The following is a 26,085-nucleotide window of genomic DNA, read 5'->3' on the forward strand; positions in this document are numbered from 1 at the left end:
AATATTATTTTAGCAGATTGGTATTTTGGACAATTTTTTCCCTTTATGTTGTGAATATTTTTAAAAAGAATTTTGAATAGAAAATACACAACTTTTCCAAAAACATTGGTTTCTTCCTGAATTTATTGTTCTACCTTGGTAACAATCATCTGAATTAGAAATACGTTTAGAGTTCAAAATAAACAAAATGCTCTGTGGTACCAAAACGCCTAAGATATAAGCAACTTATCTTTATGTTCATTTTTTGGTAATGTCTATTAAATTGCTAAAATCACACAATTTTGTAAATAAGCTATTTAAAGGAACAGATAATAAAATGGTAGTTAACATTTACAGAGTGTTTTATGATATATATGTTAGAGACTGTAAAAAACACTTTATGTGTATAACTTCAGTTAAACATTAGGACAACTCCATTAGGTAGCATTTTTATTATTCTCATTATATGAGTATAAAAACTGAAATTTAGAGAGGCATAAGTAATAGATCTAACATCACATAGTGGAACTAGGAGTTAAAAGCAGACTATATGATCCCAACAGCCACATTTGTAGCCACTACATCACACAGGTTTCACTACATTTAGTAGAATGTAGTGTAATAATAGTTTAGTAATAATAGTTTAATAATAATAGTGTAATAATAGTTTATGTCAAAATATAGAACATTGGCCTGGGAAAATATTCTAAAGACCTCTACATCTAGTTCTCTGTATTTTTCAGTCTTTGTTCAAAATGTCTTTCTTCTTTTTTGTTTTTTGTTTCCCCTTCCTTCCATTAACATAATATCTACTATGTGCCAGACACAGTGCCAAGGGCCATATCATAGAGATGAATAAGACCTACTTCTGATGAATGCCCCTACCCTCTGATGAATACACACTGATTGGAGGAGGAGAAATAAGTAAAACTACTACATAAACTGGGTAAAATGCTATGCTAGAGGAAAGCACAGCTATTATCTCCAGAGCTGTGGTTATCCAAGTATTGTCCTGAACTAGCAGCCTTATCTTCACCTGGGAACTTGTTCAGAATTCAAAGCACTGAGCCCCATCCTAGACCTACTGAATCAGAAACTCTAGGGGTGAGACCCTACCATCTGTGTTCACAATTCCTCCAGGAGATTCTAATACACTAAAGTTTACGAGCCACTTGTCAGAGTTTTAATGGATGAAGGGAAACTATCTTGAAAAAGACCAGTGTTCCAAGCAAAGGGAGCAATACTGCCAACCCCAGGAGTATGAGGGAGCAAAACACAGCAAGGATTGCAAACTCAGTATGGCCAAAGTTTAAGAAGCTAGTATGCAGGGACTAGAAAGATGCAGCTGGCCAAATGCAATGGAGCAGATCATGAAAATTCTTGAGTCATCTTGACGAGATTAAATTGTATCTTGAAAGAAATGGATCATCACTGAAGGGTTAGAATCAGAGATGGATGGGGCAAGACCGAAAGCAGGAAGATGAAGGAAGAGATTATGGCATAAACATAAGTTGAGACAGAAAGATCCTAATATTAAAAAAAAAAGTGGGGAAAGAAATAAAAGGGCATACTTTAGAGGTATTTTGGTAAAGATATGCTAATTCATGGGAGATGGGGGACTAAAAGAGAGGAAGGGTCAGGGATAAGCTCCAGGCCCTATTTGGAGCATCACCTCATATACCATTCTATATACTTCTTGCCTTTTGTCCCAGGGCTCCCCTGTTGACTCTGAGGTTTGGGAAGCCACCTGACACCCACCCATGTATAACCTGGAAGTTAAGTGGTATTAATGCCACATGGGGCAAATCTATAATCCTTGGCTTTGGATTTCCCCTTTCTCTCCCTGATGAATGGTCCTGAGACCTGCTTTTTGTCTGTTTGTTTTTTGAGACGGAGTCTTACTCTGTCACCAGGCTGGAGTGCAGTGGTGCGATCTCAGGTCACTGCAATCTCTGCCTCCCGGGTTCAAGCAATTCTCCTGCCTCAGCCACCTAAGTAGCTGGGATTATAGGCAGGTGCCACCACGCCCAGCTAATTTTTGTATTTTTAGTAAAGATGGGGTTTCACCACATTGATCAGGCTGATCTCGTATTCCTGACCTCGTGATCTGCACACCTCAGCCACCCAAAGTGCTGGGATTACAGGCATGAGTCACCACACCCAGCCCCTGAGACCCAGTTTATACAACTTCTTGGGTGGCCAACTTGCTATTGCATCCTTATATTGGCTTTCTCTCCTTTTCTGCTTTACCTTTGATCCTTACTCCTGATCCATGGGACTATATTCCCTATCAAATTAGCAGCAGTAATCCTTTGCCTCAGTCTCTGCCTTCTGGGGAACTCAAAATAACTCACCTGTGTTAAACTGAGGAAATTGTGATCATTCTATAATGTGCAAAGTATTGTGCTAGGTGCTAGGGATAAGACAGTAAACCAAACATAGCCACTGCTCTTGTGGGCTTAAAATTGTCATGCATGAGAAACAAAGTGACAATTAAATATAGTATTTTAAGTACTGTGATGGGGAGACGTGAGTGCTATGGAAACACAGAAAGAGAATTTCCTTAGGAAAAAAGTAGGAAGACAAGTTGAATTGGAGGCATCAATAAAGTGTTCAAATGAGGAAGTCTTATAGGTTCATGAGATTTGGGCTAGAAAATTGGTTTGAGTTTCATTAGTTTATAGGCAGTATTTGAAGTTATCAGAATGGGTGAGGGGGAAGAAAATATAGGAGATAGTCCTGGTTAGGGAGGTAGGAGGACATTGTAAGAGTAAGCTGAGTAAGTTTCGGTGAAGTCTAAGTAGCAGTTAGAATAGTTGGTGGCCTCATCGCTCCCTAGCCCCATGAGAGTGTGCCAATGAGCTCATTTCTCCAACCTCCTGGGCCCTTGTTTTCCCATCTGTCAGAGTTTTTGTTTAAATAATTTTCAAGTTTTCTCTCCTCTCTAGTATTTTTTCATTTATTAGCTATTATATTTCAGTCTATTGTTAGAGGGAATGTAGAAGATTGGTCAAACTACGTCTTATTCTCAATTCATACCCTACAAAACACTTTTTAAGTAAGTCTCTGTTTCTACTTGCAAAACAAGAAAAATAGACTTGATTTTAGTTGGGTTCCAGATAAAAGGCATGAAGAGTAAAATATAAGCCTCCCTATTATCATGTTTTCTCTCTATTATACTCGTGGGATAAATGCAGCCAGACATGAGAAGATGGCTAATCAATAGGAGAGGAAAGCAAAAGATTCTAACTTTCTGATCCCCAAATGTCTTGCAGTGCAAATTCTCTTCTCAGTCAGGAAAAGCCTTGTATAAAGGCATGTAGAGATGGTTTTTCAGCTTTCCTGAGCCTCCCTCAGAGTGCATGGCTAAGTCTCTGCTGAGTTACAGCAGGCCATTTCCCTGAATGCAACTTTCTTTACACTGAGCCCCCCACCACGAGTCCCAGAGATTAGAAGTCCGACTGCATCTGCTGCTCCATCCCAGGTTTGTCAGCCAGAAAGTCTTGTCCTGTTACCTGCACTATGGTGGGAGATGAAGGGGCAACAAAATACCAGACCAGGACCACAGACCTCCTAGGAATCCAAAAAGTGAGGCAATATAAAGCAGTAGCTTAGACTGGTGCTTCTCAAACATGTGAATTGCCTGGAGAATTAGTAGAAGTAAAGATTCTGCTTCAGTGTGCCTCTCCTCCAGGGAGCTAATCCATGGTTCACATCTCTTCCTGAACCTGTGGTCAGTGATGACGGTGGTAGCTTGTAATCGGCCACGGTGAGAGCATTCAAACCGTAGAAATCTGCAAACACTACAAAGTACCTCCTCGACACACACATCTCCCAAAAAAGCTGATTGCAGAACACTTGCCAGTGCCCTACTGGACATGAGGCCTGAGAGTCTGCATTGCTAACAAGCTCCCAGGTGTGTGGATGCTGCTTGTTCCCGTACCACACTATGAAGGGTTTAGAGAGGCTCCAGAGTTAAGCAAGTCTAGGAATAAATTCTGATTCTGTCTCTTCAAGTGTAATTTGTATAAACTAAATAAGTTACTACTACCGTATGACATCTTACCATGGTTGGTTGCCTAAACTAGTCTGACATTTTCTACTTTATCTCTCTGAGCTCAGTTTCTTTATCTATAAAATGGGGAAAAGAGATCAGTTCCTACTTCTTAGTATTATTCCAAGCAGTAAATTAAATAATGTACTTAGAGCACAGTGCCTGGGACACAGTAAACATCAATAAATATGAAAACTTATCATTTTTCTTTAAAAGAAAATAATTCTATAACATCATGATGGTAGGGACAGAAGAAAACAAAGTGAAAAGCAAACATTTTGCTAACACAAGTATATAAGTATCATACAGTATCCTTATATAAATGTTAAATTGTTTATCTCCCATTTAATTCATTTTTTTCTAATCTAACTCCACAATATTAAAATTCCAGATGTTTCGAGGTGAAGGTGGAGGTTAGGGGGAGGGAAAAAGAAGAAAACTAATTTTGTACTAAACATGTCATGAAAGATACAAAAGTTGTTTTTTTGGAAAAAAATACTCTCTCTCTGTTCTCTCTTTCATAAAGATAAAAGTGCTTCTCCTTGACATGGAGACAACATTAGGCATTTTATATTTCTGAAGCCCATCACATGCCTTTCATCCCCAAGCTCATGAATAACTTATGTTCTGGGTTGGGAGGAGTTCTCTTGACTTCCTGTGGAGCAAAGTTTGCAGTTGCACAACCAACTTTCCCAGAAATCACCTGTATGTCTGCACTGCACTCAGGTGATGAATATCCCCTTCAGAAGACAACTGAGTGTTTGTTACCTGCTGGTCTCAGTTACCATAACAAGTCTTCCCCCTAACAATGCCGTGAGGACAGAGCTGGAACATGAATCATGACATAAGGGAAAAAAAACTTCTTTTCATTTTTTCATTTAGGATGTGAAAAGACTGGCAACAAACACATTTTATGGTCTTTTAAGTAGGAAGAAAAAGATGATAGATGCAGAAATTTCAAGGAGAGAAATGACTGTATAAAGCCAATTTCGCCTGAAGTAGGTGATAACCAAAAAACTGCATCCATGTGATGTTCATGACGGCAAATAATGCTGACAGACAGATAATTTTTACTTAGCTAGGTATTTTATTGCCATGACAGTAATTTGTAACATTTTTTTGTCTTTCAGCACCAACACACTAAAAGAATGAGACACAGTGCCATTCTGACAAATGGCAAAGGTGCTGACAGCACCAATTTCCAGAAAGGCTTGGGGAAAATATTTCAGGAATGCTAAAAGACAATGCAGAGAGGCTATCCACAGCTCCCACAACTCCCTCCCCAACTCATTCCTAATCAGGAGTTACTTTTGTTAGGAAAAGAGCACATATATCCCAAAATATCACAGTTTATATTCTTTTGCATAAAGTCCTACTTTCTCTTGGCAGAAAGAATAAATGCAAAATGAACAGTTTCTTAAACATGAAGGCCATAAACCCCCCACAAAAAATTGTGCATATATATTTTTCTATACTCAAGATTCAAAACTTTTCAGAAGGTCCACAAGAAGTCTGCGACACCCCTTATGCCCTCTCACCCTCCACCAAAAACCAAAACCAAACCAAACCAAAACAAAAACAAAAATACCTGCTTTCATGGTAATAATATAGAGTTCAGAGTCATAAACACTCTTGAGTTTCAGTGTACTAGTTATCAAAGATGAAAACTTCCATTTATATTATTCTCTTTGAGAGTCTTTTTTTTTCACCTGTGAAAATGGAATAATACAAACTTTACAAAACTGTTGTAATAGTGCAAATAACCTGTAACAAAACATCCAGTAGAGTTTTTGGACTTACAAGACCCTGAGTATATATCAAATCTCTGATAAAAGCAGCTCAGCTATCTTAATTAAAAGAGGAAAGGGATGTGGCATTTTCCCCTCATCAGGACAACTGAGTGCAATATTCAGAAGCAATGTTCTTATTTCTGGTCCCCATAGATCATCCAGCCTTCCCCATCCTTCTCTCATTTTGACTGCCCCAGTACCCCTGTCATATTATCTAGTTGCCTTCTCATTTGACATGTTCGCTGCGTGACACTCTTATGCTCCCCCAAAAGTTAAAATCCAAATAAAAGTGGCCTGAATGTTTGGTCATTCAAATCACTCTGCTGAGTTTAAGTCCCTCTGGCTTCATTTCTTTCCAAACAGTGTTTTTTTTTTTTCTTTCTTTCTTTTTCCCCAAATTGTTACAAGCTTAATTCTACTCCCCACAGAACAACAAAGGATTAGCATTGAACTCAGTTAACTTTGGTTTTGTTTACACAAATGGGAAAATTTGGAAATGGAGAAGGGCACTGGGGAACTTACGGTGTAGGGAAGGCATCATGCTGGAAAGCTTAGAGTTTGAAGTAGCTTTAAAGCCCAGCTAGCCAGTGGCCCCATAAATTACGCCTTCCAACCCACTGAGCAAATTGAAAAACCAAAACAGATCAGGTAAGAATGTGAAATGTGGCCAGGGAGAGAAATCTAGCTACGGTAGCAAATGGAAGTGCTGCCCAGGAATTGTCATGGTACAGTGGTGTTAATTTCAGAAAAGCAATACAATTAAGTTGCCAGGCTAAATAATAGCCACACGCAGATGAGTACAGATTACCAAGCGTAGGAGAGAAGACAAAATCCAAGCAGGAACTGGCTGTTAAATGGCGTGTTTCCAGACCATGTAGACAGAGAAAACTTTAAGATTTTACAGTCCAAATGTCCAGATACAGAGTCTTAGACCATCCCGTAAGGAGTGTACTCGCTGTCAGAAACCTTTTAACTGTGAGATGTCTCTGATGCCCCTCGCTCCATAGGGAAACATAAGGCACTAATGATTTTCACGATGTTCTTCCACTAGTTAGTTCTCTTTAGCATATATCGAATCAGTTTATGGTGGTGATTACGCTCTTGTCTCTTCCTAAATCATATTTTGAATCCATATTTTTACTGTATCTCAATGAGAGATGTTTTTAAAAGATGTATTAATTGGCCGGGCGTGGTGGCTCATGCCTGTAATCCCAGCACTTTGGGAGGCCGAGACGGGCGGATCACGAGGTCAGGAGATAGAGACCATCCTGGCTAACGCAGTGAAACGCCCTCTCTACTAAAAATACAAAAAGAACAAAAAAAAAAAATTAGCCGGGAGCGGTGGCAGGCGCCTGTAGTCCCAGCTACTCGGGAGGCTGAGGCTGGAGAATGGCATGAACCCGGGAGGCGGAGCTTGCAGTGAGCTGAGATCCCGCCACTGCAGTCCGGCCTGGGTGAAAGAGCGAGACTCCGTCTCAGAAAAAGAAAACAAAAAGATGTATTAATTATGCAAAGGTAGATGAAGAGCTTCCACATGAGTTTTTCTTTTTTCTAGACTTCTCTGTAGCCTTACAATAAACAGAAGTTGTTTTTATAATTAGCGAAATAAACTTGAAAATTAGCTTATACATGTAAGTGTATATTTAATTATACTTAGGTTTCAAAATGTCAACAAAACATTTAGTATACAAAATATTAATAGTAGCTATTTCTGGGTGGCAAGGCAACTGCCAACTGGTGGTTTCTTCTTCCTTTATGTGTTTTCCAAAAATTTCACTTTTATAATGGTTAAAAAAAGGCAACTTTTATGTTGTTAACTGTTATTGGGAGAGCCCTTATTAAGGCATTGCAACTCACTGTGTTTAATTGCCTAAACTTGTCTGGCAATTTCCACTGACTTTCAAGTCATGTAATTTTAGAAAAGAACATCTTTCAAAGTGTAGTCCTTGGAGGCCACGCACACAGTGGCTCACACCTGTAATCCCAGCACTTTGGGATGCCAAAGCAGGAGGATCGCTTGAGGTCAGGAGTTTGAGACTAGCCTGGCCAACATGACGAAATCCCAATTCAACCAAAAAATATAAAAATTAGCCTGGCATGCTGGTGCGTGCCTGTAGTCCCAGTTACTTGGGAAGCTGAGGCAGGAAAATCGCTTGAGCCCAGAAGGCTGAGGCTGCAGTGAGCTGAGATTGCACCACTGCATTCCAGCCTGGGGGACAGAGCAAGACTTCATCTCCAAAAAAAAAAAAGTGTATATCTTGGAATACAAGTTCTTGGGATGTTAATAATTGTTACAGAAAGAAGATGTTTCAGTGGTCAAGTAAGTTAGGAAACAGAGTTACCAAAGTTAAACACATGAGGATTTTTAAGAATCTCTACTAATGTGCACTATGCATTACATGCAGACAATAGGATATGCTTTATATCTGAACCTTACTAGATTATGAAACTCATTTTTGCTCTAAACATTTAAAGAAATACACCTTGGAGAAGATTGATATTCAAGCTTAAGCAAACATATCAAAATCTGAAGATATATATATATAAACAGTCATATATATCTGAATTTATATATAAACATATATAACATATATTCATAGAATACATTGTTTTAACTGTAGTCACTATGTTATACAATAGATCTGTTGAAATTATTCCTTGTATTTGACAGAAATCTTTTAACAAATGAACTAATCAATTTTAAATTTATACATCTATATGTTATACATATGAAAAAAATTAATTTTAAAAGATACACTAAGTGAATTTTTAATTATTCATATATTCATATTCATATATATGTTATATATTTACATGTAAATTTGTATGAAGGTGAGTAAGAAAACATGACCTCAAGAAGATCACAGTTTAATGGTGAAGACTGCTAGCTAAACAGACAAGTACAATGCTTGGATAGAAAGCAATAATGGAGCTATGTTCAAAGTTCTCTGGGAGCACTATCATGTAGGAGAGAAACCAAGAGTTTTATAAATTGGATGTTATTAAACTACACTAAGAAACAGGGCACTTTAAAGAATTGAAAATTTACCTAGTGAATCTTTTAGAATTTATTTTAATGGATATAACATATATATTCATGTTATATGTTATATATTTATATATAACATATATATTCATGTTATGTTATATATTTCTATATACATATCTTCATGTTATATGTTATATATTTCTATATACATATCTTCATGTTATATGTTATATATTTCTATATACATATCTTCATGTTATATGTTATATATTTCTATATACATATCTTCATGTTATATGTTATATATTTCTATATACATATCTTCATGTTATATGTTATATATTTCTATATACATATCTTCATGTTATATGTTATATATTTCTATATACATATCTTCATGTTATATGTTATATATTTCTATATACATATCTTCATGTTATATGTTATATATTTCTATATACATATCTTCATGTTATATGTTATATATTTCTATATACATATCTTCATGTTATATGTTATATATTTCTATATACATATCTTCATGTTATATGTTATATATTTCTATATACATATCTTCATGTTATATGTTATATATTTCTATATACATATCTTCATGTTATATGTTATATATTTCTATATACATATCTTCATGTTATATGTTATATATTTCTATATACATATCTTCATGTTATATGTTATATATTTCTATATACATATCTTCATGTTATATGTTATATATTTCTATATACATATCTTCATGTTATATGTTATATATTTCTATATACATATCTTCATGTTATATGTTATATATTTCTATATACATATCTTCATGTTATATGTTATATATTTCTATATACATATCTTCATGTTATATGTTATATATTTCTATATACATATCTTCATGTTATATGTTATATATTTCTATATACATATCTTCATGTTATATGTTATATATTTCTATATACATATCTTCATGTTATATGTTATATATTTCTATATACATATCTTCATGTTATATGTTATATATTTATATATACATATCTTCATGTTATATGTTATATATTTATATATACATATCTTCATGTTATATGTTATATATTTATATATACATATCTTCATGTTATATGTTATATATTTATATATAAATTTAAAATTCATTAGCCATTCATTAAAAGATTTCAGTTAAATGCAGGGAATAAGGCCGGGCGCAATGGCTCAGGCCTGTAATCCCAGCACTTTGGGAGGCTGAGGCAAGAGAATTGCCCAGCTCCAAAAAAAAAAAAAAAAAAAAAAAACAAGGAATAAGTTTAACAGATCTATTGTATAACATGGTGACTATAGTAAATAACAATGTATTATAGTCTTGAAAATCACTTCCAGAGTAGATATTAAGCGTTCTCACCACACACACACACAAATTATTAGTATCTGAGGTATTCTTACATTAATTAACTCAATGTAGCCATTCCACGATGTATACATATTTCAAAACATCATGAGGTACACTAGAAACATATAAACTTTTATCAATTAAAATAAATAAAAATTAGGCCAGGCACGGTGGCTCATACCTGCAATCCCAGCATTTTGTGAGGCCAAAGTGGGCAGATCACCTGAGGTCAGGATTTTGAGACCAGCCCGGCCAACATGGTAAAACCCCGTCTCTACTAAAAATACAAAAAATTAGCTGGGCATGGTGGGGGGCATCTGTAATCTCAGCTACTCAGGAGGCTGAGGCAGGAGCATCACTTGAACCCGGTAGGCGGAGGTTGCAGTGAGCTGAGATCGCACCATTGCACTCCAGCCTGGGTGACAAGAGCCAAATTCCATCTCAAAATAAATAAATAAATAATAAATAAAATAAATGCCAATTAATTTTAAAAGATTCATAGAGTGAATTTTGAAATCTTTAAAGTGCTCTTTCTTAGTGCAGTTTAACAGTACTCAGTTTATAAAACTCCTGGTTTCTCTCCTACATGGTAGTGCTCCCAGAGGACGTAGAACATAGCTCCATTATTGCTTTCACATTGATGCATTGCACTTATCTGTTTAACTGGTAGTCTTCACCATTAATCTGTGATCTTCTTGAGGTCAGGGATGTTTTCTTACTCATCTTCATATTACTAACACGTTAGAGGTGCTCAATATTTATTGAATAGATTAGCCATTGCCTAACTTGAGGTAAATGAGATTGTGTAGGAATAAGAAAGGAAGGCTAGCGTACAGCCAGCATGCTTTGGAAAGAATAATTTTTTTAAAAAGTAAGAGAAATAACAGAGACCTTAGGGCTTACAAAGAAGAACTCATGGTTGAATCAAATTAGCCCCATAAAAGTCCTAGAGGAAAATGAAACTGACAGGGCAGGTCCTCCAAATTAGGTGTAAAACTTCTCTTGAACCAAGCTTGTGATAAAATATAATGAAAATATTTGAAGCAGACAGACAGTTGTGTGTTCAAAAGATGTATATTTTACGATGTGGTAAAAAAGTCCATTAAACTGAGAAGAGTTGAAGGCACAGGAGTCAAAGGAACTTAAGTTTAAAGATTGAAATGAAAAATGTGGCCCTGGGGGACATGAATGCTATTGAGGGCAGCATGAGGATTGTTTTCTGAATCCCTAATCGCTTTTTTTTTTTTTTTTGGCTTATGCTTTGCAAATTCTTAGGGGAAAAAATGCATTGGAAATTTGTTGTGATGCAACTGAAATACATGATTTCAAATGGATGTGCTACCATGACTAATTTCAATGGCTCTGTTTTGGGTATGAAAACAATACAGATGTAAGTTGGAAGTGGAGCCGGGGCTCAATGAACCTTCTAGCTGTTTTTAAATCTCCTCTATTTTGTCATTGCATGGCCTTTACACTTGACTGAATGAACATCTCTTCAAGCTACTCTCATTATGCCCTTAGACAACATTCTGCCTATGGCATGGCTGAAGTGAACCTTAAACTGACTCTGATAAACAGAACACATTATCCCAAGTGAACAAATGCTTTCTCCATGCTCTGTGTCTCACTTTGCACTGTGCTTTAAATGTCTTAGTATCCCAAATATCACAGGATGGAAATACAAACATCACCCTCATTTGACAAATACAATACCTCATAGTCTGTGTAATTTGTTGCAGACTAAAAAACCTCAGAGAACCAGACACCGAAATTGTCAAATATTCATGTGATAAAAATTACAAAAGCTATTATTTATCAAAAACTTTATTTGCATGATTTCTAAATCCTTTCCAAAGGCCCCATCTCTTAATATTATCACACTGGGGGATAGAGTTTCAATATGTGAATTTGGGGGGACACAAACATTTAGGTCATAAGAAAAGCTTAACTTCCATAAGTGACAATGAACAATTACACATGGCCTCATCATATGGACCAATCTCCACCCTAATGTCTTCATTGTTTTTCCACTAACTCACCCCAGTGCTTAAAACACCTCCTGCCTTTTGTTTCAGTGGAGTTGAGTTCAGTCTCTCTTCTATTGCAATAGTCTTGATTAAAGTCTTCCTTGCCTGTTTACTTTTAGTGCAATTTTTCTTCGACAGATAGTAATAAAATTCAGGTTTCAAAAAAAGGAGTATTTTAATATTTCATCACAACCTTATACTTTTAGCTCACTGCATCTGAAGACTGACAAGCAATTATTAGAAGATGATGTCTCACAAAAATATTGCATTTTCTTGTTTCTTTTTACGCTTTTCCTCTCTTGAAATAAACTTGATCTTGGCATCCAGGCTTCTTCATAGACCTGGCGCCTCTCTCTGTTCCCAGCCTCTTTTCTGGCCACCCAGGAAATACACGCTATAAACGTGCCATGATCTTTCTTACCTTTGAGCTTCATATATGCTGCTCCTTTAGTTTAAAATGCCCTTTGCCCTGCCCTCTTCAACCCTACCAATTTTCCATTTTACTCTAAGTTCTTTTTCAGTTTGCAAGACATCTCTATCTCTGGGAAGTACCACTTGTCCACCACTGCCCAGAATGCTGCTACATGTGCCTCTTGGTGCTTTCAGAGAACCCTGGGTTTTGTTTTTTGTTTTGTTTTGTTTTGTTTTTTCATGTAGTCAACAGCTAATGCCTTAGAGACAGGAACTGTATCTTATGCCCCTTTGTCTCTCCAGCACAGTGTCTGGAACAAAATAGACACAAAATCATGTTGGTTGAAGGAATGTTAAAATGGGAAGTAGATTTTTTTTTTAACTTTCCTTAAATGTGCCTCAAGCAAAATGAACTGTTTCATTTATTTCTAGTAGCTCTTCTGGGTAAATATATATACATATTTTCCTAGCAAATAGTAGGAAGTGATTTGGTGAAATGGCTAAGTGTGCAGGCTTCAGAATTGAGAAAATTTAGTATTAAACCCTGTGTTTGAATTCTAGCTGTACACTTGAAATTAGTGTGATGCTGACAAGCTACTTAATCATCATTCTCTTTCATTTTTTCAGTAGAATAGGGATTGACTCCTGCCACATCTCTGTCTTCAAATAAGCTACTTTCTCTGTGTGTTTGTGTCACTTTTTCTAAGGACACCAGTGATATGGTTCAGATCCATGTCCCCACTCAAGTCTCATGTTGAATTGTAATCCCTGATGTTGGAGGTAGAGCCTGATGGGAAGTGATTGGATCACGGAGGCGGAGTTCTTATGAATGCTGCAGCACCATCCCCTTGGTGCTGTTCTGAGGATAGTGAGTGAGTGAGTTATCAGGAGATCTGGTCATTTTAAAAGTGTGTAGAACCTCCATCCTGTCTTGCTCCTGCTCCACCATGTAAGATGCCTGGCTCTTTGTTCACCTTCTGCCATGATTTCAAGCTTTCGGAGGCCTCCCCAGAAGCTGAGCAGTTGTCTCCATGCTTCCTGTACAGGCTGCGGAACCATGAGCTGATTAAAGCTCTTTTCTTTATAAATTACTCAGTCTCAGGTATTTCTATTATTTTTCATTTTTTATTATGCTTTAAGTTCTGGGATACATGTGCAGAACGTGCAGGTTTGTTACATAGGTATACATGTGCCATGGTGGATTGCTGCACCCATCAACCCGTCATCTACATTAGGTATTTCTCCTAATGCTATCCCTCCCCCTGCCTACCCCCTCCAACAGGCCCCGGTGTGCAATGTTCCCCTCCCTGTGCCCATATGTTCTCATTATTCAACTCCCACTTATGAGTGAGAACATGCGGTGTTGGTTTCCTGTTCCTGTGTTAGTTTGCTGAGAATTATGGTTTCCAACTTCATCTGTGTCCCTGCAAAGGACGTGAACTCATTCTTTTTTATGGCTGCATAGTATTCCATGGTGTATATGTGCCACGCTTTCTTTATCCAGTCTATCATTGATGGGCATTTGGGCTGGTTCCAAGTCTTTGCTATTGTGAATAGTACTGAAATAAACATACGTGTACATGTGCCTTTATGGTAGAATGATTTATAATCCTTTTGGTATATACCCAGTAATGGGATTCCTGGGTCAAATGGTATTTCTGGTTCTAGATCGTTGAGGCATAATTGTTGCACTGTCTTACACAATGGTTGAACTAATTTACACTCCCACCAGCAGTGTTAAAGTATTCCTATTTCTCCACATCCTCTCCAGTATCTGTTGTTTCCTGACTTTGTAATGATTGCCATTCTAACTGGTGTGGGATGGTATCTCATAGTGGTTTTGAGTTGCGTTTCCCTAATGACAAGTGATGATGAGCTTTTTCTCATATGTTTGTTGACCACAAAAATGTCTTCTTTTGTGAAGTGTCTGTTCATATCCTTCACCTACTTTTTGATGGGGTTTTTTTTTCTTGTAAATCTGTTTAACTTCCTTGTAGATTCTGGATATTAGCCCTTTGTCAGATGGATAGATTGCAAAAATTTTCTCCCATTCTGTAGGTTGCCTGTTCACTCTGATGGTAGTTTCTTTTGCTGTGCAGAAGCTCTTTAATTAGATCTCATTTGTCAACTTTGGCTTTTGTTGCAATTGCTTTTGGTGTTTTTTAGTTACAAAGTCTTTGCCCACGCCTATGTCCTGAATGGTATTGCCTAGGTTTTCTTCTAGGGTTTTTATGATTTTAGGTCTTACATTTAAGTCTTTAATCCACCTTGAGTTGATTTTTGTATAAGGTGTAAGGAAGGGGTCCAGTTTCAGTTTTCTGGATATGGCTAGCCAGTTTCCCCAACAAGATTTATTAAATAGGGAATCCTTTCCCCATTGCTTATTTTTGTCAGGGTTGTCAAAGATCAGATGGTCGTAGATGTGTGGTGTGTGTGGTGTTATTTCTGAGGCCTCTGCTCTGTTCCATTGGTCTATGTATCTGTTTTGGTACCAGTATCAGGTATTTCTTCATAGCAATCCAAGAATGGACTAATAAACCAGTCATTGGATTTAAGCTCATTTTTTAACTAATTATATGTTCAAAGACCTGATTTTCAAATAAGTGACATTCTGAGGATTCAGGTGGACATGAAATTTCATAGGGATGTTATTGAACCCACAACCCATCACATTCACAGGTACTAGGGATTAGATTTGGTCATATTTTTTTGAGAGACACAATTTCTGGAGGAAGGCACAATTCAACCCAATACAAAGGCAGAAGGTATTCTAAGTTCTAGGCACAAAGTCTAGTACAGAGTGAGCACTGAATTAGTAGTGACTGCTCTTACTATTAAATATTCTATTGTTATTAATTGATCATTATTTTGGACATTTGGTGGTGAGTGGGGGAGATACGAAAATGGGATCCAGACTCTAACATAGAAAGTAGCTGAACCTATTAAAGTGAATGTGCTCTTTCTAAAGGCACTGTAATGGGCCTCTCCTTTGTGGGACCCCAAACAGTGGCACATACTTTTTCCCAACTTCTGCTTTCTGTTGCCTGTTACAAGATAACCTATGAGTCTTGCCAAGAAAATAATGAAAAATTCCAGACTATTAGGCCTTAGCAGAGCTTAATCAAAGACTCAATGATCTATACTGGCTCTGGAGGCCTCTTCAAAGCTGAAATCCAACATGTAATGACCGTGGCATGAACCATAACCAGAAAAGAGCAGCATCTGTGAATGCAGGATGACGTACCTCTTTTCTCGTTAGTTACCCACTGCTCTGCAGAGGTGCCTGTGACTCAGGGGTGAATTCTAACAACACATCCTGATATGTGTATTAGAGTTTATGTGTCTTAAATGCCCTTTTACCGGATAACTAATATAAAAATTCCTGTTGCTTCTATCAAAAATATAGAGGAGTTCATATTTTTGCCTTCTCATCTTTTGAGCAAATGACCTGGCCCCTTGTATTTTCTAGCCTTCTTGCATTAGGCCAGTTTTTACAGTGGAATGCAAAGCAAAAGCCATTTGAGGTCAATAGGTCTTCCTTATTTGTCAAGGGCCTCAGGACATTTAAAAATATATATGTTTGGTGTTTTAGAGAAGGAAGGATGACAGGAGAATACCACAATCACTGAGAAGTGGCAGGTACTTGGGGATAGGATGTTAATATACGAACCAAGAAAGGCTGGAACCTAGGCATAGCGGTCTGGGTGTTGGCAAGTGTTTCAATTTCCCTAGTGAGGATGGAAACAAGGAACATATGGGTAAATACAACAGACACCTCTCACTATTAACCAGAGTGGACACAGACTAGGTTGTCTGAGGAGTCTCTCTGCTGCTTTGGTGCTGACAAATATCTTGGTACCATGATAGGGAGGGGAGATCCCAAAAATGATAGAGAATTACTTTTCTGCCAGCCAACTGGGATGAGCATACAGATTGAGTTTGAGATTGAGATTGAACTAGATGCACTTTAAATAAAACTGATTATTTTTTAGCTCTCGGTTTATGAACAAAGATTCATCACAGTTACACACTTACTTGTTTTTTGTACTAGCCTTTGGAAGTATGTCTTTGGGTATTATTTTCCTCCTTCAACTAATGTAGAAATGAGATCAGAGATAACTCAACTAAGGCCACACAGTTGATAAGGGGCAAAACAGTGCCTAGAAATTCTGACTCCTAGCTCTTCTTCACTGCACTGTGGCATAAAGCACACCAATAGAAAAAGAAAACATTATATTCTTCAGTCAGGGCCGCATTGGTGGACATGTGGTAGCTATCATTCTGTATGCTACACTCAATCAGTGCTATTAGGCAGACTGAAATATCTGTTATTGCTAGGAAAATGTGAGGATACTTTGCTATTGACAAAGAGTGATGGCTCTAATGCTGTAACACCATTCCCTTTGTGAGGTACTGGAGGCATCTAAGGAATAATTGGTATTATTGTTGCAGCCATCATCCTGTATGTGTTGCTCACCTTCAAGACAAGGACCATGTTGAACCAGCTCATCCCTGCATCCCCAGAATCTAGGACAATGCCCGCTTCATTATAAGTGTTTAGTAAACATTTCCTAAAAAGAATTTAAGGATTACGAGCAAATTATTCCAACAGTTGAGAATAGAGGCCTAAGAAGAGGCTAGAAACTAGAAATATATACAGAAGCAACTTGACTTCACCTGAGAGTGGAAAAATTCTTTTAAAGTAGCCAGTAGATCTGTTTCAAAGAAAGAGTGCCCAGTAATATTAACTGAATTGAGGACTGACATAGGTTCTAGGTCAGCTTTGTGAGTCAAAACACTCTTAGGCCATTAAGACTGGAAAGGTAGTTCTGAGTGACGTGGAAGGGGATACCTGAGAGGTCCTTGAAATATTTCTACTGAATATTTGAAATATATTAATATATAAAATATATTAAATATATTACAAATATAAATTTATAATTTATATAAATATTAAATATATATAACTCTACTGAATATTCTATTGCTCATCTGGAATTTACTTCTTCTATAAACTGTCTCTCCACTTTGCTATAATCTTCATGGCCCCAATTCCTTCACCTCTTAAAACATCATTGAATATTAGAATTTCATTAGACTTCAGATGCAATGGAAAGTGGTACATCCTAGTGCAGAAAAATAAATTAAAACAGAATATTAGACATCTCACATCCTTTTCTTTCCATTATTAAAAATCTTTTTACCACTGAGTAGTTTGCCTGCTTTCTCAACTACGATGTAAATATTCACTGTAGCTGGGTTTGTGTCAATCAGCCGCCTTTCATAAATATCCCAGCTAAGCCACTCAACTCTTAGAATCTTGACTCAGCACTTCACTTCTCCACTCACACTATCCTTTGCTCCTCCATCAGTTCCACTGTGGCTCCCAAATGGGTTCCTGACATCCAACCTTGAAATTCTGCTACCAATTCTACTACCTCAAATGATAGTAACAAAAATAATAATAACGCTGATAATAAGTATTTTTTCCTGAATAATGTCATTAATTCCTCACAACAAATCTGTAATATAGGTATCATTCTACCAGTGAAGATATTGATTATCAAGTGACATAACCGGAGATGACAGGATTGGAATTGGAACCCAGGTCTGACATACTCTTAAGTCCATCTCAGTCCTAAATATATCTATACCAGTAGCCTTGGGCTTACTGAAAAAGTCTGTCCTCTAAAGAACAAACCACCCTGAGAATGGAATAAAACAATCCCCAGAAAAAGGTCAGGATGATGTTCTCTCTACCCGGCAGGCCACAAGTGGCCGTGCTGAAATGAATAGTTGTATCCCCAAAATATGACTGCTTCAGTTCAATCTTGTTAGGGGAAAGTCAGTCCTAAGTTTTCCTACAGGATTTTATATACTTTTATTTGGACTTATTGTCTTATTTGGTTAATTTTATCATTTTGTTTAGTAAATTTTGTTCAGTTGCCCAGAGGCCCTGAAACACACTGTGCCAAAAAATAAACATTATTAAAATGACAGCTATTAATGTAAACATTGCCAAGGAATAATTTGTAAGGGTGAAAGAAAAGCCAAATGTTGACTAGGGTATGGTTGCCAAAGACACAACATCCTTACTACTTCCTTTAAGTCCCTCTTCTCTGTTCTTTAGGAGAGCAAAGTTAGGAGAGTCTTATAAGATAGTTCTGGGAAAGGATATTTCACATCAAGTGCTCACAAATGGCTAGAGGCACAAATACAAATGCATAACTTATTGCAACTGTGGGAGCTTATCATTTCAGGTGTGAAATTATGAATTAATGCATCCCACAGTTATGTCAACAGACATTTTAGCTATATTGTCAGGTGGAGAGTAGAAGGGCTCAATTGCCAACAAACCGTTTTTGAGATGTTCATTTAGGTAGAAACCTGGATCACGACCCAGAACGTAGCTTTGGAAAATGAACATCTCTTTTTACATGTCCTTCCTCATCTTTACTGATAAAGATTTGATTTATTGATATCTTTATTGATAAAGATGAGGAAGGACACATAAAAAACAAAGGGTTTAGACCTTTGATGGTTGTGAAAACAAAACAAAACAAAACAAATATGAAGTAGCTTCACAGAAGCATGAAAGAGGATTGTACAGGAGGCATGTAGGATCTTTCATAGTTCCATTCCTTCCCTAGAAGCAGAACTTGAGGGAGGACAAAAAAAATAAGAGGAACTTCCTATTGGTATCTACACTCGGCCTTGTTTCTTTCTCTTTTTTATGATGATTGAAGGGTGTACGGTTAGAGCGAGGAAGAAGAGAGGACATATGAGAAAGGAAGCAAGAGAATGATTTTGGAAACGTTTAGACATCCTTAAAATCTAGAGGAAAAATTAGAGGCTCAAGAAAGAACATAAGATGTTCTATCATTGCCACTTTAAACACTACCTAGAGAGTCTTCCTCAAATATTAAGAGATGTTTCCCATCTTGGACCTGATCTTGTCACTTCCTAAAAATACTCAGAAGCTGAAGGAAAAATTAACTTTGGCTTAATATCAAAATCCCTGTGGGGTTTAGCAAACCTGTGGATGCCCAAAACCATAGCAAAGGTCTGCCATGAACTTGGCAAGTGACATTGACACCTCGTGTGGACACCGATCACACGAGGATCTTGTTGAAAAGGCAGATTATGCTTCAGTTTGTGGTAGAACCTGAGATTCTGCATTTGTAGCAGGCTCATAGATGATGTTAATGTTGCTGCCCCCTGGACCACAGTTTGGGCGGCAACGATTTAAAGAATCCATTTTAAAGTCAGACTGTCTGAATGTGAAACCTGCGTTAAGAATACCAATATACGTCTCTCTTTGTAATGTTGGCCCTTTGGCTCTGGCTAACAACAATTAAAAGGGGTCATTTGGCCACTGGAAGGAAACAGACATTTTGGTGTTTGCATAGTATCACCCAGGATTTGGATTTCAAGTTATGATGCTCTGTTAGGATAGACATGGCTGACTTTATAATGTTCAAAAACAACTTTGAAAAGATTTTATTGCTTCAAAATTATAATTTCCAATCTCCCCCACCAATTACAGCTTTTTTCCCAGCACATCACCATAACTATCTAAATGTAATTTACAGAATAGGTTTGGGGAGGCAAAGGCAAGCTGTTCTGAAGGTAAGTCTTGCTCCTGGAATTTTCTTCTGTTCTAAAATAACTGATCCTTATTTTTACTTCTATAAGTTCTGGGGTACATGTGCAGGATGTGCAGGTTTGTTACATAGGTAAACATGCACCATAGTGGTTTGCTGCACCTATCAACCAATCACCTAGGTATTAAGCAATTCACGTGGCCAAGAAATATATGAAAAAAAAGCTCAACAACACTGATCGTTAGCGAGATGTAAATCAAAACCACAATGAGATACCATCTAACCCTAGTCAGAATGGCAATTATTAAGAAGTCAAAAAACAACAAATGCTGGCAAGGTTGTGGCAATACAGGAATGCTTTTACACTGTTGGTGGGAATGCAAAATAACTGATCTTTATATGAATAAAGACTGAATTTCCTTATAGACAAAATAAAAATATTTTGATGTGATTTAAAAGCTTAATCATTGTTAATGTAAAGCATTTACTTCACTGTCTAGCATATAACAAGAACTCAATAAATGACTTGTTATAATAATATTCTATGTAGCATTCCTTATCAATTAAAAAAGTAATTTTAATTTTTGTGGGTGTTTAGTAGGCATGGGGTACATGAGATGTTTTAATACAGGCATGCAATACATAATAATCGCATCATGAAGAATGGGGTATCCATCCCCTCAAGTATTTATCCTTTGTGTTACAAACAATCCAGTTATACTCTCATTGTTTTAAAATAGGCAGAAGACAGGTGATAACCATCAGATGGCTTGTGCAAAAGAAATAGGATCAAGCTTAAAGAAGAAAAAAAAAAAACTGGGCTCTTCTAGTTCAGATGGTAAACTGAGTCTACTCTACACCCACCTACCTTCCCAAGGATCTTCCAACTCTCAAGAAGCTGGTCTCATGGTCCAAACTTGGAAGCACTCTCTGGACTTCTCTGATAGAATGACTCAGAAGAGCAGCAGAGGACTTTTTAGTCCAGTCAGCATGTATAATGGCTGAAAATTTACTCCCTGTGCTTGAGAGATGGTTTTAGAAATAACAAAAATGGGCCGGGTGTGGTGGCTCATGCCTGTAATCCCAGCACTTTGGGAGGCCAAGGCAGGCAGATCACTTGAGGTCAGGAGTTCGAGACCAGCCTGGCCAGCATGGTGAAACCCCGTCTCTACTAAAAATACAAAAAATTAGCTGGGCGTGGTGGTGCACACCGGTAGCCCCAGCTACTCAGGAGGCTGAGGCAGGAGAATTGCTTGAACCCAGTAGGCGGAGGTTGCAGTGAGCCAAGATTGTGCCACTGCACTCCAGCCTGCACGACAGAGTGAGACTCCATCGAGAGAGAGAGAGAGAGAGAGAGAGAGAGAGAGAGAGAGACAGAGAGAGAGGGAGGGAGGGAGGGGGAGGGGGAGGGGAGGGGAGGGGTAGAAAACAAACTTATATGAGGAAAAAAAGAAAGAAAAAACCCTGAGTTTATAATACAGCCTGAAGGTACAGGACTTCTTCTTTGCCAATTCAGACTTGAGCTAAAAATCAAACAACCTACAAAACACCCAGTTTTCATGAGTTCAATTAAAGCCATGGATGCCCAAATGTACAGACTATTCTGCTTTGTGCAGTGATTAGATTGCTCTTGTTCACGTGTAATCTGTTTTTACTACTTTTTTCAACATTCAGCCAAATTCTTTACTTGTGTTCAAAAGTCAGGGATTAATTTGATCTCTATGCTGTCCATATTTTCTCCTAGTTTTTTCAGTTAAGCACTTTGACTAATCTTTGCAGAAGAGGAGATTAATGTCAAAGAAATAATGAAACATTTGACTGATATTAGTTGCTTGTCATTCTTCATTAAGTGCCCCTGAGTCACCTTCTTAAAGCCCTGCAAACAGAATAGAATGGGCTATGATGATAGTCCATGTCGCATATTAATAAGAGGAAATGTAAATGGGAAAAGACTTCCATTTTGCCAGAATAAACAGAGCAATATGCACATCTCCATCTCTCAGCTTTCTGTAGTTTCTCCAGGGGCTCAGTCCAATTAGTTATTTCATATTAATCACTGTTTGTGCAGTTGATTCTTCCTGTGGAAACTTTCCACTTTCGGTTGCCTGGTAGACCAAAAGACACATATTTCTTTGGATACTCTACAAGATCCAGGGAAATAAAAATAAGAATACCTTTTGTGTGTATTAAAATTTATTCTTTTCAAAGTTGGTTCACATTTTAGCTCCTTTGACTCTCAAGAAATCTCTTAAGAAATGCTCAAGCCATGTGCACACCTTAGTAACTAGTGTTCCACTTTGTACCTAGTAGGTAATCAAAATAATAAATGAAGCACAGGGATGCAGGATGGAAGAAGACAGAAATATGTAATGGCAACAGTTAGATGAGTTCCCATTTCTCTCGACAACTTGCTTCAATGCTAAGAGATATTCAGACTTCAATAGCTTATAAAAGATTTAATTGAATCACTCTGATCCAGTGAACTACAAGTAAGGGTATATGCTAAAAGGCCACATCAATAATAAATTGAAAATATTTATAGCACTTGTATTTTCAGACAATATTGCCTTCAGAGTTTTTGTAAAGCAATCAAATAACACAAGTTAATTTAGTCACTGGTTTTCTCATTATTTGGAGAACTGTTTTAGGTCAATGTACCTCAACCTATAATTTTAAAAATGCATTAAAAGGATAATGTGTATTGGTTCTTCCTCAGATTTATACATGAACATAATAGAGAAATGATTTTTGCTTTTGAAGTTGATAATTTAGATTCAATCCCCTTTGAAGCATATATGGCTATGACTTCCTCAGACTTTCCTTTCATAGAATTGCTAACCATTCTTTTAGTAATGTTTTCATGTGTATTGTATTTTCAGAAGAGCTATCCTCTTATATTAGAGTTACCAATCACTTTCTCCAGTACCATGTAGCCTTGGTACTATATGTGCCATTAAATATCCCATGTAATATGATACGTGAACCCAATCTCTCTGGACACAGGTGATTAGAACAGAGTGGCCCTTGACTACATTATCTGTCCCATGTTTTTAAAGTAATACCTACAATACCGAGTAAGTTGTTTTGAAAAGATAGGTTCAGGAGCTGAGGCTGCCCCTTTTAAGCAGCCACAGTTGGCCATGAGTAAAGAGATGAGTTGGGAAAGGAGAGGGAAGGGGAGGGTAGAATTAAAAGAAGATGGGGTAAATCCCACTTACTATTCCCTACTTGATTAACACATTAAAAGGAGGATAATCCATTTAATGTGTTGTTTAATTCTATTTGCTAGTATTTTGTTGAGAAAGATTGCATCTATATTCATCGGGAAATTGACCTGTAATTTTCTTTTTTTATAATTTTACTATCTGGTTTTTATATCAGGGTAACTCTGGCCTTGTAAAATGAGTTAGATAGTAATATTTCCTCTTCAACTTTTTGTATTAGGTTGGTGCAAAAGTAATTGCAGTTTTTGTCATTACTTTCAATGGCAAAAACCACAATTAATTTTGCCCCAACCTAATAACAATTTGAGGAGGATTGGTATTTTGGCTCTTCCAATGTTTGGCAAAATTCAGCTGTGAAGCCATCAGATCCTTGGCTTTCCTTTAATGGGAGATTTTTATCACTGACTCAAACTTCTTACTCTTTATTGGTCTGTTCAGATTTTCTGTTTCTTCATGATTCAGTCTTGATAGGTTTTATGCATCTAGGAATTCACCCATTTCTTTTAGGTTGTGTAGATGTCCTTAGAAAGAAACCATATTAATAGAATTACAGAGTTGGGGGTTGAAAAACATTACTGAATCAAATATAATGCCCTGTCTAATTCTGTAAATCCTTTTATGCAAACTAGAATCATTCAATACAACCTGACAGCTTGAAGTCTATTTTTTTAACTACAATATGTTTTAGAATAAAAAGCAAGTCTGAGGTTTTCATTTGAATAATAGAATAGATTATAGACTTTGGAGGCAGAAAGACTGAGCTTGAGCCCTTGTGCCACCACTTACTGTTGTTTTGTTTTGAGGAATTTAACTTAGCCTACCTCAGGCTGGATTTCTTCATCTAAAAACTGGGTTAATGACAGTTCCAGCTTCTTAAAATTGTCATAAGAAATGCATGAGGAAATGAACATGATGGTCTAACAAATAATAAGCGACAAATAGCTTAGCTGTTGCTTTTTCGAAGTGAGAGGAAAATGGTTGGAGATATTTTATGTATGATGTAAACCTACAGAATCTGAAGCATCATGATGTCACCATATATACAGCAATCTGTGGCTCACAAAGCACTTTCATGATGTATTATAACATTTCTGTCTCTTCATTCACTTACTTATGCTTTTCACAAACATCTGTTAGATGCCTGCCATATGCCTGATTCTATGCTATTCACTGAGGGAGGATTCAGTTATGGAAATAATACAGATAGTCTCTGCCCTCCTGGAGCATACAGGCCCTCTGATACAGATTTGGCCAGTTTTCTTTTTTATTTTCTTTATTTTTAAGATGAAGAAAATGAGGGCTAGAGCACTTAAGTGACTTGTCCAAAATCACAACAGTTGGAGAGGGTGATGCCAGCATTGAATTCTCAGTCTGATTCTAGGGATAGAGGAAGAATTGTTCTCTTTAGGTCTGTGGAGGGGTCTCTGCTTTTAGAACTGAGATGCCTTAGACAGAATTAGAATAAGTTATGGTTCTACTGAATATATTTTTACTGATTTAGTTTCATTCGCCTCAGGGCTAAAGCCAAGCTGGAGCTATGATTCATAAGCCTCATTTTCCATATGTTTGACTTGGGATTTTCTCTAAACAGCAGTTGATTAGCCATTCTTGTGATTTTTAGCTCACTGTTGATAACTTGACCCAATTTCAGTTGAATTATATTAGCTTTAAGATCCCTGGAGAAAGGAGCAGAACTCCATTGAGAGACTCCAATTCAGCCAAACATTCTCAGCTTCAACCAAACCAACCATCTCCATGTGCCAAGCCTGGTGTCAATGCTGCCTGCAGACTGCTTTAGATGTGAAGGCCCCCTAGTTCTTCAACAAATAATACCCAATACTTGATTAACATATTAAAAGTTGGATGATCCCTTTAATGTGTTGTTGAAAGGAGTGATGAGTTTCCAAATCTCATACTGCTATAGATCTAATGATAAGGAAGTTCTGGTTTATAGTTTTACCATGCAAATGTAGGTGAACTTTCTAGCATTTATACCATTTTTTCTGGCTGGTCACAGTGGTTCATGCCTGTACTCCCAGCACTTTGGGAGGCCACGGCGGGGGATTACTTGAGGTCAGGAGTTCAAGACCAACCTGATCTATGTAGTGAGACCCCCAATCTCTATAAAAAATTAAACAATTAGCTGGGCATGGTGGTGCATGCCTGTAGTCCTAGCTACCTCTGGAGTCTGAGGCAGGAGGACTGCTTAAGCCCAGGAGGCTGAGGCTGCAGTGAACCATGATTGTGCCACTGCACTCCAACCTGGGTAACAGAGAAAGACTGTGTCCCTAAAAAGATACAAAAAACAAAGACAAAAACAGAATGCTTCTCTGCTTAATGCCCTTCAGCAGATCCCTACTGCAAATGGAGAAAATCTAACTTCCTTAGCATAGATCTAAGATTTTCATGACCTGGACTTCACACTCTTTCAGAGCCTCATTTTTCATTAATCTTCCCCACATTTGCTATGGTTCACAACAACCAAAATTTCTATGATCCTGCATCCTCAGACATGTTCTGGTGTCTCACATTTCTCCATCTAAACTGGTTATGCCTGTAAACATTGTCTTTCTATTATTATTATTATTATTATTATTATTATTATTATTACTTGTAC

At 37.2% G+C, this 26,085-nt stretch overlaps 1 annotated feature.

The window, feature by feature from the left end:
• Window positions 1,780-1,983: a silencer, noted in NCBI's record as "fragment chr5:144555436-144555639 (GRCh37/hg19 assembly coordinates)". NCBI's record gives its function as "represses an EF-1alpha promoter that drives an FKBP-Casp9 reporter gene in an ReSE screen in both phorbol 12-myristate 13-acetate-treated (for megakaryocytic differentiation) and untreated K562 erythroleukemia cells {active_cell/tissue: K562 | K562(+PMA)}" and the evidence as "EXISTENCE:reporter gene assay evidence [ECO:0000049][PMID:32094911]".

This window comes from Homo sapiens, chromosome 5, assembly GCF_000001405.40.
Source record: "Homo sapiens chromosome 5, GRCh38.p14 Primary Assembly".
Lineage (NCBI taxonomy): Eukaryota > Metazoa > Chordata > Mammalia > Primates > Hominidae > Homo > Homo sapiens.